The sequence below is a fragment of the Homo sapiens genome, chromosome 18 (assembly GCF_000001405.40).
Source record: "Homo sapiens chromosome 18, GRCh38.p14 Primary Assembly".
In the NCBI taxonomy this organism is placed as follows: Eukaryota; Metazoa; Chordata; class Mammalia; order Primates; family Hominidae; genus Homo; species Homo sapiens.
Genome location: NC_000018.10, coordinates 53,384,122 through 53,400,940, shown reverse-complemented (window position 1 = coordinate 53,400,940; position 16,819 = coordinate 53,384,122). Strand labels below are relative to the sequence as shown.

The 16,819-nt window shown below is 36.1% G+C and overlaps 1 protein-coding gene and 1 long non-coding RNA gene across 6 annotated transcripts in view; one reads left to right on the top strand and one right to left on the bottom strand.

The window, feature by feature from the left end:
• The window catches only part of DCC (DCC netrin 1 receptor), a 1,195,703-nt gene that overhangs the window by 134,959 nt on the left and 1,043,925 nt on the right, over window positions 1-16,819 (bottom strand). For 3 of the 5 annotated variants that reach the window (NM_005215.4, XM_017025568.2, XM_011525844.3), the window contains 3 exons: window positions 14,803-14,898; window positions 9,054-9,286; window positions 3,495-3,633 (listed from right to left, as the gene is read on the bottom strand). In NM_005215.4, coding sequence (NP_005206.2) covers window positions 3,495-3,633; window positions 9,054-9,286; window positions 14,803-14,898 — 468 coding nt within the window. The remainder of the gene's footprint in view (window positions 1-3,494; window positions 3,634-9,053; window positions 9,287-14,802; window positions 14,899-16,819) is intronic. The other 2 variants (XM_017025569.2, XM_047437311.1) reach the window with 1 other exon arrangement.
• Window positions 10,765-12,700, top strand: LOC124904305 (uncharacterized). The gene is made up of 2 exons (XR_007066377.1): window positions 10,765-10,899; window positions 12,282-12,700. It is a non-coding gene; the product is annotated as an uncharacterized LOC124904305 (long non-coding RNA).

Below are 16,819 nucleotides of genomic sequence, written 5' to 3'. Positions count from 1 at the left end.
ACTAGTGAAAATAGCCTGTTTTGTCTTAACTATGTTAAAATTCAAATTGATGTTTGTTTAGAAAATAGTCAAATGAGGATGATTAGATTGCTTCACTGAATCTGTTACGCATTCAAAAAGGATAAAGTGATTCTTCAACTTTAGCTATCAATATAATACAATGAAGAATTAGTTATTTAATTTAAAAAAATCTAACAACCAATCTAATTCAGGTGCTGTGCAAGCTCTTATTTTTCCTCAAGTCATGTGAATATTGGTGAATAAAAATTTGGTATTGGAATTAATGACCTAAATGTCTAGCATTATTATGTGAACTGCACACTGTTCCTTAATATTTGAAAAATAATATGGCCCTCACAATTTCAATAATCCCTACTAAGTCGAGCAGAATTCCTCTGCCTTGCTCTTCTCCTGAGTTCTTGAGTTCTGCCTGGAATGATTTCTAGAAATTCTTCATTGTCTACCCATTCTCTTTGGATTAAATATAAATAAATAAAAATAAACACCAGGACCTCTAGGATTTATATTCTGTTTTATTTTATGTACTTCATTCCCCTTGTTGTCCCATGAACACTGTGCTCAACTCACTTTGAGCCAATCATAAGTATCTCTTTAACACATCATCTTTCTGACACCTGCTTGGGTATTTTTGCACATGAGTTTTCCATTCTTTGGAAGTCCCTGGAATTAGTATGTGATAATTCAACTAAGCCATAGCTCAAACCTCATTTATTTTGTGAAACTTCCTCTTATTTTTCCAGACAGAATCTGTACTTTGTTTGCTCTGATTTTAACTTGTCCACAATTTTATGATTATATTTCTGATATTACTTCAGGAATTTAAAAAAATGCTTTTTCTTTTTTATTGGACCACAATTCGCTCAAAGACATAGACTATATTCTCCTTACCAAGTTCGTATCTCAAGGCATGACAATTATAAATTAACATTATTAAAAACCCTTAATTAATATCTTGGTCCACTAGACAAGCACTGCCCTCTGATTTCTTTTTTTTTTTTTTTTTTTTTTTTTTTTTGAGACGGAGTCTCGCTCTGTCGCCCAGGCTGGAGTGCAGTGGCGGGATCTCGGCTCACTGCAAGCTCCGCCTCCCGGGTTCACGCCATTCTCCTGCCTCAGCCTCCCAAGTAGCTGGGACTACAGGCGCCCGCCACTACGCCCGGCTAATTTTTTTGTATTTTTAGTAGAGACGGGGTTTCACCGTTTTAGCCGGGATGGCCTCGATCTCCTGACCTCGTGATCCGCCCGCCTCGGCCTCCCAAAGTGCTGGGATTACAGGCGTGAGCCACCGCGCCCGGCCCCCTCTGATTTCTTTGGCTCTCATTTTTTCCTATACTTCCATTTCTTTATTAAGTACATGAATGGAAGGTAACATTTAAGTTTCAGAAGATTTCAGCCATAGGAATTGTATTGGGCATTTGTTACTTGCACTGTCCAGCATCCCATCCTCTCCTCTTCCTTTTAAAGGAGGACTTGTTTTTTCTCTTTGGAAAACAAGCTCTCCTCTATATCATGAAAGCTTGGTAGCAATATCAGTTGGGAATTCCATGGTCTTATCCCATCTTCTCCTTAGCTGTGTGATCACCTGTCTCAAAAGATGCCAATAATATTCTCTCTTTTGTGACACTGAATCTACATACAAGGAAATAAAAAAGGTGGAGTCAAATAATTACTATGGTAGCACCTTGAAGGGATAAACCAACAGTTCCTCACTTCTACAGCCTAGGAATAATAAGGCTGATGCCTGTCTCTTTCCAAGGCCTAATTATTTAAAGTGTCCTTCCTGTCACGTTTATTTTACTTCAGTTAACCAAAACCAAATGAAGGATTCATTATCTGGACAGAATGAAATGCTTGATTTCAAAAAATTTCCAGTCACTCGTATCTTTATCACAAGCCATTTCAACACATAATGGTGTAGCCCCATATGGTCTTTATCTTACTGCAGAACTAGAAGCAAACTTTAGAGTTATTTTATTCACTGAATTTCCTTCTCACAGTTATAAACCTGCAGACACTTGTGAATTACTTCTTACTTCTCATCATCACTCAGGGATCCTATCCATGTGCTATTTACACCTTTGTCCAGATTATTACCTTTTCTACTAACCACATTTCTAAAAGTTAGTATCTTTTTGTTAGCAATGGGTCTCACCACTGGTGTCCCTACAAGGCTAGGCGGTTGATGAGAAATCAATAGGGTGCATATATCAAGTCAGATGTTGGTGTGCATTTTATGTTTATGAGAGGAAAAAAATGAATGAATTTGCTTGTATTAAGATGAAAATACTACTACTTCTCTTTCACACAGGGAAGGCCAAATTTCTTACTATTTCACATTTATCTACATTCATCTCCTTTCAAGTAAAAAGGAAGAGTAGACTGTTTACTTGTTTACTCTATCCAATAGTATGTATCTCATCCGGCTGGTCTTATTAACCCTAAGAAGCTGTGAACATTGTGCATTCAGGGTGGAATTCTGAGAAGAAGAGATAATAACAGGTAAAATAGAAAAATAGGATGTTAAAATTAAATTAGGTCAACTAGAAATCTTCTTGTTGAAAGAAGTATCCACAGATATGTAAAAATATTCTCACTAGAACTCTAATAGTTAAAATAATAGTTGGAGTTAAAAATTAGAACTGCAATCCCATGGGACAAATTCTAATGGAAAGATAAATTCAACTTACCCAGGAAACAGCTTTATTAGCATTTTTTTAAAATTTGAAAATTGGTGCAGTTTACCCACAAATATGATATATTATGAAACCCATCAAAAAAACATGTTAAGCCCTGGATTCTTCAGAAGTTGGATTTCTGTGAACTATAAATGTCAAGTACACTGCATCCTTGTTAAAGTTATAAACTCTACATTTACGATCCATAGTAAATGTGACCAGTAAAAATTACAGTGAATTGCATTACCCTAGATTTGAACTATTTAAAATTGCATAAAGGTCTTCTATTATGTTACCCCATTTCCCAGGAGTGAACAAAACCACCTGGAAACTCCTTCCCATATCCAGCCAAGGTTATTCACAGTAAATATCCATGAGACTTCGGTTGTAATGCAATGCTTTCTTTTGCATCTATTTTTCTTTTTTTCAAAATGAGAAATACCTACCATGACAATTGTTCAAAGACACAACTGTTTTGGACCAAGTTCATTGGATGGATTTCTGTTCTTTACTTAAATGTAGTGAAAAGAAGATTTATAGTCAGATCCCCTGAGTTAACACCCTGAAGAAACCGTGTATTAATCATGAAAGCAGATTACTTAAGCCATTGGAGATTCATGTTTTTTCTAGTGTGAGGAGAATACTCTTAGATATAAAAGTGCTATGAACTATAGAGGATGAACTATTTTATATAGGATAAGGTATAATTGAGACACCATAGGGAACACATGTTCTAATTTCCACAGAACCTGGGAAACACCATTATCAAGGGTCCAAAGTAGACATTTCCTCACATACCTGCTTCATACGTGGTGGCATGTGCAGTCATGCTCCAAGTACTGGACCTTCTGTTTTTTGTTACCATGACCGAGAATTCATACATTGTGTTTGGTTTGAGGCCTGTTGCTGTGTAACTTAGAGATGTTGTGTCTTCTGACTATACAAGTAGGAAATAGCAAAGAGATAAAAAATAAACTCTATCAACTTGGTAAATCAAGACATATAAAAAGACTATTAAATAAGCTAACACAAAAGTAATCTACTCCCAAACAGCAGAGGAGTAGAGCATAGCACTGACTCGAATTCCCATCTATTAACCAGTTCACGCTGGCTGATTATACATTTACAATATAACCAATAAAATTAGGTATTATGGTTGTCCAAAGGGGCTACTAGATAGAAAATTTTCCGAGGTAAGATATGTTGAAAGGTCTAATAGGTTAAAGCATATTTTCCATATGATCAGGCATATGAGACTATGCCTCTTATAAATATCACTTTGTGCTTGGTATTTACATATCTTTTTTCAAAGTTAAATACTTACCTTTATTACAGAACCAGAACAACAGGACAAATTCCACTTCCTTCTGTCAACTCAATTTTTGAAATTTTCTGCATTGAACTTAATTCATTTATAATCAAAATCTGTGGTTTTTTTGGCATAAGTTTTAATGTTGTATATTTTAAATAGACCATTGTTATTATTTTCCACTTGTAACGAAGTTAATTGATTAGAGTTCTACTGCTCATCATGTATCTCAAAAAGCCTTTAAGGTTTAAACTTTTAGTGCTTCCAGAATCCATTTACATCTTATAGAGAACATGAGACAAAAGCAATGCTGAGTCACATGGTTTTCATTCTTTGTGTAGACTTCACATTAAACAAACATTTAACGATGGTAACTGGAGCAATTGATCAAGGAAGGAACAGCAATTTGGATAAATACTAAAGGATTACATTGGTGTTTAAAGTGGTGTTGGTATTATTGAAGTCTTCTGAATTCATTCTTTGTCTTTTAAATGACAAGTTAGAGATATTTTAGTAGAAAGTAAATTATAGTTCTTTATTGCTTACTCAAAATACCAAAACGGGTAATAAAGAAAAAACATGATGCAAGGTTTAATCCATTAAAGTATATTTTCCATATAAGCAAAAAAAATGGGACTATTCCTCTTATAAATATGATTTTGTACTTGGTATGAGGTATCGTTCTTCGAAGTTAAATACTTTTATTTTAAAACATTACATTTATTATCTATTTATGTCTAAAATAATTAAGAAAAGCTCTTTTCCCCCACTCATATCATACGTATCTTACCCTTACTACTGAAGGAAGGGATATCTTTTTTTTTTTAATTCTACTACGAATCCTTCTTAGGTTATAGTTATGAAAATTGTATATTTCATTACACCACCAAATAAATATGTAACTGTACTAATAACATTTCGGTGATTTGCCTATCCAGCCTATTAAAGTGATGACCTCAAATATTTATCAGAAGTCTTCTTAAAAATAATTGTAGGTTGGCGCTGTGGCTCACGCCTGTAATCCCAGCACTTTGGGAGGCCGAGGCGGATGGATCACTCGAGGTCAGGAGTTCAAGACTAGCCTGACCAATATGGTGAAACCCCATCTCTATTAAAAATACAAAAATTAACTGGGCATGGTAGCATGCACCTGTAGTCCAAGCTCCTTGGGAGGCTGAGACAGGAGAATTGCTTGAACCTGGGAGATGAAGGTTGCAGTGAGCCAAGATCAGGCCATTGCACTCCAGCCTGGACCACAGAGCGAGACTCCATCTTAAAAATAAAAAATAAGAAAAACCTGTAAAAATATATGCCCTAAATAAATGTAAATATTTTTGGTATAATCAGGAAGATGAAATTCCATCAAATAAAACACAAAGTGGTCAGCTAGTATCTGACATGCAGATATATTACTTCCATTTTTGCTTTCCTTCGTGATCATGAACAACTCTAAGTCTTAGAAATGGAAATAAAAGGGAGAAATGAGGCAATAAGAAGTATTTTAGGTAAGAGGGAAAGATCATATCTCAATAAAAACAGTTTCTGAGCACAGACACCACTGGCATTTGAGAGGCCAACAAGTAAGATCGTCTTTGTGTTCTAGACTGACACCTTTGCATTCTATAAATACCATGAATTACTGAGTTTCCTCTAAAACCTCATAGAAAGCTACAGCTTATCTTAAAAAAGCCTAGAAATACTTTGGAGCAACATGGCCAGTTATCTTTGTGAGCACAGAATAACCAGATGGTACCTGTCTGAGCCTTACTTTTTTTTTTTTTTTTTGAGATGGAGTTTCGTGCTTGTCACTCAGGCTGGAGTGCAATGGCACGATCTTGGCTCGCTGCAACCTCAGCCTCTCGGGTTCAAGTGATTCGCATGCCTCAGCCTCCCAAGTAGCTGGGATTACAGGCGCCCCGCCCCCCCACCACGCCCAGCTAATTTTTGTATTTTTTTAGTGGAGACAAAGTTTCACCATGTTGGCCAGGCTGGTCTCGAACTCCTGACCTCAGGCGATCCACCCGCCTCGGCCTCCCAGAGTGCTGGGATTACAGATGTGAACCACTGAGCCCAGCCTGAGCCTTAGTTTTCTTGTGTGTAAAATGGAGACGACCATAGCACTGACTTCATAGCATTATTTAAAGTGCAAACTAAGACAAGTAAAGCATAGCGTTTGGCCCAGAGAAAGTATTAAATAAATCTTAACTACATTATTTCATGCATTGTCTCTTGTTGTATGTAATTTTAAGCATGTGTTATATGCTCCTCCCATTGAGTTGCATGCAGTTTGAGAGCTGAGACTGAGTCCTGCACAACTTCATATCCTCTGTAACATCCATATTATATCTAGTAAGCACTAGTCAACACTCGATGGATATATTTTGAATAGAAATTCATATAAAACATCATATGATTAAATACTTTAATAGAAAAACATATAGAAAATGTCTCCATTTGATCAGGAAAGTTAATACAGGGTTTTAGACAATCAAAACATGAGCATCTGTATTATAGATTTGGGAGTAAATGGAACTAGAAGGACACTCTTGTGGGGAAATCCCTGGATGATGCCATTGGGTCACCTGAGATCCTGCTCTAGTTTAATGAGGAATTTCTGTCAAGTTATATCACCTACCTCTGTCTTCCTACTTAACTACAAAGAATCTCATTGTTTTTACAGTAAGTATGGATATTTCCATCATATAGATGAGAAAAATGAGACTGAGCAGGTTAAGTTTCATGACAGGAGGTTGCAAAGCCAACCCATGAGCCCAGGTCATGTGGCTCCATGTACATTTTGTTTGTTTCCTATTGTGTGTATGTCCTGCCTACCTTTTAAAGCTGTAGTGGAAGTGAGATGAAGTAAAGATATGACATTGGCTTGAAAAGTACAAAGTGAAAACTCAAAGAGTCTATCACCATTATTTGTAAAATTTAAATTTGTTTTATATCTTTCTAGTTTTCTCTAACCCTCCTCATATCAGGGTATGGATATATAGGGGGAGGGAGGGAGGGAGAGAGGGAGAGAGAGAGAGGGAATAGTACATTAGTAATTGAAAGCCTTCTGTCAGGGAGGATGAAGGGAAGAGGAACAGTTAAAATCTTTTTGGGCTGAGTCTCACCTCACAGGCACTCTTTGTGAGATTCAGTAATTCCATGTCTGCTGTAGTAACTATTCAACTGAAATAATTTGCTTCAGGAAATTTTGGAACTCAAACCATTCTGAAGAAAACAATCATTTTTCCTTAGAACATTTCACATTCTGGCAAAGTCGCCATGGCCATTCTGTGAAATGAATGTATCTACAAAGTACAGCAATTATGACATAAAATTTTTAAAGTGGAGAAAGTAGCCTTCTAAAAGTAAACTTAGAGAATTGGGTAATCTATATAAAAAGAGACATTCTTTAATGGTCTCATATGTTTCATTGGTTGTCTTTTCTGATAATGTTATCTTTATTTATAGTTCTGCTGAATCTTAAATCTACTACTGTAAGGAGATGGATAGGGTACTTACCACATACCTTATAACAATGATACTATTTAGACTTGCCTGGAGAGTTCTTCCAAATACCTCACCTAACAGGGCAGCAGTACCAAAGAAAACTGTCTTTAAATGGTTTCAACTAAAATCTGATTTATGATGAAATGTGAATTTTATGCCATTTAAAAGTTGAAAGACACCACAGGAAGATCCAGCATGGCTATGGGGAGAGAGAAGCAAGCTTACAGGATTGGTGGTGGGATTTAGCTATAGCTCCAGGATTGGGGTTAAAAAACATCCTCGAAATATTTTCATCCCCCCAAAATCACTACTAGCTTGAGGCTGGATTCAGGAGGATGGTAGTTCAGTGAAAAGAACATTGGCTAAAGTATAAGGAGACCTAAAATCTCCTCAAGAGCTACCCCAATCAAGCGGTTAAGAGAACACAAAAGGAGTAGGAAGAAGACAGCCAGGGTTGAACTATTTGATTTCTTAGTTGTTGGGTGGCATTTATGCTCTTATTTTCAAAACTGACTTCTTCACTCCCAATCAGTATCTTGTGAAGTTTTAAGTTCTAAATGTGTTTTTATACATTATATCTCTCAAATAACTTATGAATTCTTTTAAGTTTATCCATAGAGCTGAGTGTATAATTCATCCTAAAATTATATGTAGTAAGTAACAATGACTACACCATGTTTTCTTTCAAAATAAACCATCTCTATGGTGTAGTACATTTCTAGGTACATAGTAGGTTCTTGACAACTACTTGTTGATCTTCTCATTTTTGTCTACATTTGTATATTGTCTATATATACTAACATCATAGCAGTTTTAGGAGGTAACAAAATTATCTTAGTATATAACTTGTTGTTATGATCCCTGAGGCTGGTTGATAGAGATTTGAAACTGGTAATGACTGTCTCAAATATGTATCTCTGAGGAGCTCTTAAAGAGGTTGTCAGATAACTCTGTGATAAGGACAAGAACAGAGAGCTGGTGAATTCATATTAGCTAAATGGGAGTGTGGATTGTGAGTTTTCTTTACCATAATAGTGTGTTTTCAAGGCTAAATGAAGTAGATGTTAATGGCTTAGAGTGCTGAGGTTACAAAAAAATATCTTCAACTTATCTATTCCCAGTTATATTCACTGAAAGATGAGTCTCTGTGACATTAATAGGGTCGCTTTGTAAATCAATCTAGATTCCAAATGGAAAAAAAAAAAAGATACCAAAATCCAGAAAATTAACATAGATCTCTGCTATTTTAAAGGGACAATGGCATTCTCTTGCACAGAATCAAATCATTTATACAAACTCAGCATCTGGTGAAAAGCAAATAACGTTTTACAGCACTTGATGTTTTCCTACCTTGCCTTAGAATTGTTTCCTAAAATACAATTATTCTCATGTTAATCTTAGATATTGAGTTATTAAAATGCTTTGTTTTTCTACATAGATACACAGCAGCAAAACGACTCATGACAGTCCAGGAGAGGTTTAAAACAATGTGTTAAACAAATGTCAGTTCATTTTAAATTTCATGCTATCAATTAGAACTTCACCTTGTATTTTGCACTTGCAGAAAAGCTGGTTCTCCACCGGACGGTGTAAAGTCGCACCTCAGACGTCTTTTGGTTCTTAGGGACAGAGTTGTCTGCCCAGCTGACCCTCACAGCATCATGGGTAAGAGCCACAGCCTGTACACCTACTGGTGGGAGCATGGGGGTGGAGAGATCTGGGACCGAGGTGGGGAAATCATCAAGCAAAGGATAATAATCAACTGGGTCAGTGGGATCTGGGTTTAAAAACCCACCAAATGAAACAAACAAATAAATACGTAAATAAAAGCGTTAAAAAATAAATATCAGTGGTAACACATCACAATGAGTTAAATGCATGGCAATAATGATGAAAGGGAACATGAGAAGAACAGAAAAAAATGTAATTAATTCAATCGGAAAACACATTAGAAACAGTATTGCTATATTGCAAAAAAGTAATTGAATATTTTCTATAATTTACTCATTCTCTTAGAGTGGTTTTATCAATTTGACTGTCACTTCTGCTTATATATTTTAAAGACTATTTTTTAAATGTTGCACATTGCTTCTTAAAAGATCTAGTTACAGGATCGATCAGTTTTATTACTATATAATTTAAAATAATAAGATAAAAATGGGGGTTCCAGTTTATTTCTGCCTACAAAAAGCTAATTGCTTATCTAATACCTAATTTTTTGTTTATTTTCTCCTCCTTCTCTAACTTAATAGGGTTTCTCTGTTTTCATTGTTGCTTAGCTTATATCTGCAAACACATTTCCTGGGCAAGAAACAAATAAATAATAAAGAACAAAGTACCCTGACATCCACAGCAACCTGTGTGTGGCTGTGATTGCACAAAACCAGAGTGACCAGGTACACATGATCCCATGGATCAATTATATATTTGATAATTAAGTTTCAGACAGCACCTGGTTTGTCAGGCTTTCTTAGACTGAAACCCTTGAAAATGTAGAAGTGTGATTTTACCCACATTCTCACAGAGTAATTAGCTAAGTTTTTAGTCTTGGTAGGAGTTCCCATATTACACATTCCTACAATTTTATATTATTGGATGGCAAGACAGGATTAACTACCTACAGACTTATGAGATTTGCACTGAGGTATATACATGCTTTGATCCATAATATAATGGGAATCTGCAAAATGATGTGTGTGTTTTTACAAAATTCTCCAAAACACCTTGTAATCATGTTTATGCTGTGATATCAGAATAAGAGAAGCTGATTTTGTGGCCACAGTAACAGCCTAACTTTGAGCATTTGATTTTGTACTTAAGACATTTACACTTAAAAAATCTTTATATTATGTAGTGCATATTCTAAGAAAAATAATATGTGATAATATAACTCTCAGGCTGGGCATATGATAACATTTGGGGAGATGAGACCTACTAATATGCTGGGTGTCTACAGCAGCATAATACAGGGTTTATTTTTTTCAACAGCCTAGTTTAAAGTGGAGTGACTGCTGGCTGGTTTTGATGATTACTTCACTTTGTCCACTGCATTTCAAATGCCTATCCCCTATTCATCACTCTGTTTTCCAATGAATTATTCAGTAGTTTACTAGTTTGTGGTCTTTGGAGCAAAATATAAAACTGAAAACAAAAACAAAAATAAAAGGAGAGAGAGAGAGAAAGAGAAAGAGAGTTGTGTTTAAAATTTAATGACAGAGCCCAGGCTTTCTGTATTTTATTTGATGTCTCTTTTTATTAAGGGATCCTTTAAACTCAAATAGATTTATAAAACGATGAAGGGGAAAGAGAAGACGTTGCAGTCTCCACAAGGATTCCAATCATTCATCGGTTTGTGTAGCAGTGGAAGACATTTTTGCCAAATTAAAGCAGGTGCTACTTTGTTTTACTTGTTTCTAGTTTTAGCTGGCTTTACAAGAAGAACGTGATACACATATGGGACGTTTTCTAATTTACAAACTCCTCTTTTGACCTATTTTACTGTTTTCTTAATCCAGTTTTATTGGTAAACATACATTAACTGTATAGTTTTTTCACAGGTGCCATACATAACGTTTTGAAATAGGGTGATTCTTCTTCAAGAAATGGAAATAGTCAATCCTGCTATTTCTGATCTTAAATGGGTATACTATTCATGACCATTCTTACTGAGTTTCTTGGAGTCAGTTCCAGAATGCTTCTCTGAAATTTCAAGCAAGGGTGTTGGGTGGTATTTCTTGATGGACTTACACAGTCCAGAAATTTCTATCCTTGGCCAAGTTTTTTCTTTCCCATTTTATGGAATAATATTTTTTCAGGTGTGGCTTGTCATCCTTCTTGACACTTCCTCCAGAGCTGTGCTAGTACAATGACCACTAGTTATATGAACTAGTTAAGTTTAAATAAATTAGAATAACAAAAAATTCACTTCCTGTGTAGCACTAGGCAATTTCAAGTGTTAAATTGCTATAAAAACCTAGTGTCTGATGCAGATATAGAGCATTTCCAGCAAAGCAGAGCGTTATCGTGCACAGCAAGCACAGCTATTAATACATATTGCATATATTAATTGTCTTTTTCTCTCAGGTCAGAAACTATTAATATTTGAATAATTGAATTTAACACATTCTTTTGTTGCTACAGAACTTTTTTCTTTTCTCTTCCTACCACTGGGTGATTTATACGCTGACTCTGAGTGGTTACATTCAAGAGAATTGAAAAAAAATTTAGTAAAAGACAAAATATAGCCTCCAAACTTTTGCTGAGAAAGAAATCCGTTCAATTCCTAACAGGTGTTTTTGTAAGTGCCCATGAATGTTGAGTCATTACACTAACATTCAAAATGAACTTTAGATGGGTGTGGTGACTCACACCTGTAAACCCAGCATTTTGGAAGGCTGAGGCAGAAGGATTGTTTGAGGCTAAGAGTTCAAGACCAGCCTGGGCAACATAGCAAGACTCCATCTCAAACAAACAAACAAAAAATACCAGGTATAGTGGGGCACACCTGCAGTCCCAGCTACCCAGGAGACTTAGGTGGGAGGATCACTTGAGCCTAAGAGGTCAAGTCTACAGTGAGCCATGACTGCACCACTGCACTCCAGCTTGGGCAACAGAATGAGACCCTATCTCAAAAAAAATGAACTTTAAAAATAATGATGCAATTTTACATGTGGATTGTACTTCATTTTAACATTGATAAAGCAGTTGAGAATAAATCAATGAAACAGCGTGTTTTATTAGTCTTCTTCTTTTCATCTTCTTTCCTTCTCCAGGCTCAAGATATCTTGTCCTTAAGACAACAAGAAATAAAGGGCTTTACAGCAAAAATGAGACTCTTAATGCATGTGGCCACGTGAGACTTTCAGCAGCTCTAATGCTGATATTCCCAGTATGGGATGAGGCTCCAGAGCTCACCAACATCTGTGAGCACATGTGTGCAGAAAACTCTATAGCCTGATGCTTATTCTGACTTGAGGTTTTATTGCCTGTGATATATTTTGTAGTTACTTTACACGGGCCCTTGTTCGAGACTGTCCATGGTATGCCTTTGCAGAAGCTTAGAGATAGAGGATGCCGTCTATGTGGCACTGACACTTTTATTAATGGAGTTTCCTTAACCTTTGATTTCATTTATTTGTTCTTTGTTCTCCATGACATGTGGAAGCAAAATAAAATAATTCTGCCACTTCCAGAAAAAGTGTTTTCTTTCCTTTTTGAAAAGGGCTGGAATCACGCATTCTTCTCGAACCCCTTAACTGGCTTTTCTCCAATAAGAAAATTCCTCACACAAATTCCAACTTTTAGTATTATTTCAATTCTCAGTTCCTTTAAGATCTGAGTCATCAGAAAATAAAAATTGCCTGGATCACTGGTGTTTTTGAAACCACCTTGGGAATGTCATATGCTAGAATTAATGCAACAAATGCTAAGAAGAATGAAGCTGATAATGACTCCAGTGGTTCTTTCTGAACAACTTACTTTCAGTTTATTTGAATTCTTTCACCTTTTCCAGTTTCTGATTGAAAAGCGATTTTTATTTGCCACCTCAGTGGTCCTTCCTTGGGGCCATTAGCTTTGGTAAGAGAATAAGAGCTTGAAAAGACCGACTGTAGTATCATTTTGCATGGCCTGATCACAAGTGCCAAGTCACCATGGCAATGAGCGGCTACTGGGGATCTTTTACCATAGGCAGGACAGAGATGGTCACTAAAGGAAAATTATGAGACACAATGGTGCAGCCAAAGTGGCCTGTTTGCTCACAAAGAATCTTGTTGCTAGCAGAGCAAGGGAATAAAGTTAAAATCCCAGACACCCATCTGTTAGCTCTTAGTTTGTAACCCAAACCTCAAGTTTTCTCATCTTTCTATATTTGGAGATAACACGTTTGATAGTAAATATTCTCTGGGGTAATTATTTACTCTTTTAGAGAAGTCATGAACCCCTTTGATTATACAATGAATGATATATACTGTCTCCACAGATAAATAAACATATTGACATCTGCCCAAAATTTTGCATTCTACTTTAGACAGATTGTAGACCTGGAAACAATGGTCAAAGATTCAAAGAGACTACAATAGCAACTTTGCCTTAAATAATACTACTAAAATCAATATAGTGACAGTATTTTCTAAAGGCCATGACATAACAATTATGAATTCAAAGAACAACTGTATTCTTAAGATAGTCTATGAATGAAGCTTGTACATTTGGCAAACAAACTGCACTAAGTTCACATAAATTTGGGCAGGAGTAGAAGCCACGGGATTCCACTATTTATTTTATAACCATTTCTTCCAACTCATCCAAATTTCAAACATCAGTAACATCTCACGTTCTCCGATGCTTGCTATCTCAGATCCTCTGTTTTCGTTAAGGGGACAATATCTGACAAGTTAAACGACGTCCGAAGGGTGTGAGGGGGCAGATTCAATGTATTAATTAGAGAGGGAACTTGGGTTTTACTTGGAGATTTCAGACATAAGTCTGTGGCAGGGGTTTGGGGAAGTAGTCAAGTGACTTTCCAGGGACTCTGAATAGCCCTACAAATGTGTTGCTTATTGTATTTTGGACTAAGCCTACACATGCTAACAAATAACCTCCATAAATAGTTTGGATCTCACCATCTTACCCATTTCTTTCTCAGTATCTTGAGCCCTTTCACTCTTATGTACTGCCTTTACAGTCCAACTAACAGAAAAATTCCTAAGGGTGACAAGGCCTTAAATCAGCTATCCCTTTAAGGTCCTGAGGCCCTGGGCACTGCTGGGGTGACCTGGAGGCCCAGCTCAGGAAGATACCACATATGTCACTCAGCCTAATGCAAACCACCCCAGAAGGCCAGCTCTTCCTTGTCATCTTAGTTTGAAAGACCCTGTGTGGAGAAGCAAGTGTCTATTTAGGCATTTGGCAACCTTTATGCAGGGACAAAGATGGCATTGATTTGAGACAAACTGCTCAGGAGATGGAAGCATGGTATCAGGGCACCAAAACCATGATGCTATTGGGAAGGAACAGATTGAGAGATCTATATTCTCTAAGTCCATGTGCAAATTTATAAACTGAATTCCTCCTACTTAATTTCGACAACCAAAGAAATAAAAAAATGCATGCATATGTGTGCAAGTATACATATGTACTTATCAGACTCAGAGGATAATTATTCTCTGAGGATTATCAGAGGATAATGATAGGATATATTCATTTTTGTTTCTTTGTATTTTATTTTAGTTTTTCTTTTTTCACCATAAATCAAATATACTTTGTCAGAGGAAGATTAACAATTTCACTTACCGGTTATAGACCTGGTGGTGGCACTTTCATAAAGAGGAACTCCTTCTCCGGCATTGTTAAAAGCTTTTAGGGAGATTACATAATGGGAACTTGACTCTGGAGAAAAAACAGAAACAATATGAACGTGTTGATATATTTAATGTATCAAAATACTCAAGGCAAACATTTTCCTCAAAACAAATTTCATATAATCTACTTGGTAAATTGTTTAAGAATGAGTGAGTTGGATTCAGAAAGGAAAGTGGCAGTGGGTGGTAGCAGTAGGGTTTTTTGATCTTCCTCAATCCCCATATGAAAACATACTGAACTACTAGGTAGAAAACCGAAAGCATTTATCTGCTTGCTGCAAACCTATGTGATGATGTGTGCCCTCGAACCCTAATATACAAGTGGGTGTGAATAAACAACCGACAGCCTCATCATCTGTTTGTTGTCTGCATCTGTGTAAGAAACATCAAAGGGAAGCATCAAACCTAAAAACAGGATAATTCTAAAATAGGTATCAGCTAATGCTGGAAAGCACAGCAGATCAGTTCCAGAACAACAAATTTAAACACTCAAAACTGACCTGCAAAGTCTCCTCTCTAGCACTGGGCCCAAACTGGGGACAACCTCCTGTGAACTGATGTAAGATATAACCAAGATTGAAACAATATTGATGAAGGGGAGAGAAAGTCCAGTTAAAAGTAGGGGAGAAGAAGAACCATGAAAATTCAGAAAGCAAGCTGCCATAGTTTTCAGTCTGTATCCAGAGCTGGCAAGCTTTCGTAGGCCCGGAGAGTAAATACTTTAGCTTTGAATGTCACATTGTTTCTGTCAATTTTTATCTCTGTTTATTTGTTTACAACACTTCAAAAATGTAAGAACCACTTATAATTCAGGGGTCCATACAAGAACAAGACCTGCTCCAGATTCTACTTGTAACCTGTAGTTTGCTGAACCCTGTCTATTGAAAAGAACAGGACAGGGAGCTCTATGTATTGAGAAGAGCTCTCTGAATTTCTGAAAGAACAGGAAAAACAAATTACATAAATGTAAGCAATAAAAATGTATTGAGCATCCTGGCTAACACGGTGAAACCCCGTCTCTACTAAAAATACAAAAAAAAAAAAAAAAAGAAAAAAATTAGCCGGGCACTGTGGCGGGTGCCCGAGTCCCAGCTACTCGGGAAGCTGAGGCAGGAGAATGGCGTGAACCTGGGAGGCGGAGCTTGCAGTGAGCCGAGATAGCGCCATTGCACTCCATCCTGCGCGACACAGCGAGACTCTGCCTCAAAAAAAAGAAAAAAAAATTATTGAGGTAAACTTCTTTACAAAATTAGCACAAGAAAAAATAAAATAGGAGAATATCATTCCTATAGAAAAGTACAGAAAATGGATAAAAAGTAGAAGAAAACACCCAAGAAAAATAGATCAAAACTGCAATTTATGATTTCAAAATGAACTAAACTACATTAAGAAAATGCCAGATATGAAAAAGTAACATAAATCAGAAAACTCAGAAATGAGGTGGCATAACTCAAGGAATAGATATATGTAAATTAAAAAATTTTAGACATGAACGGTAACTAGATGAATACAAGTCAAAAGCAAAAACATAACAAAAGAAATTAAGAAGACTGAAAAAGGATTCAGGAGAAAGTGATAAATATTGAAGTTAGAGAAGGAAGATCTAACGTACAGATAATAGGAGTCCTTGATGAGGAAAATCCAAAGGAAAATAAAAACAGAATCACTAAATAAAAAATCTGCTGATTTAAAATAATGTTTTAGGCATCCAGACAAAAATAATATATGACTTAGAAAAAAAAATTAGATTATCAGGCTTTATATAACATTTTACGGCAGAAGAAATTAGAGTAACTTTAGATACTCAACATAAGAAAATGTAATTCAAAGTTTTATAGTCAACAAAAATTAACTTTAAACATAAAGGGTACAAACTTATCCACTTGCAAGTACTCAGGAATATTGTTCCCTGATCCCCAGAACTACTAGTAAATGAGCTTTAGGCATAT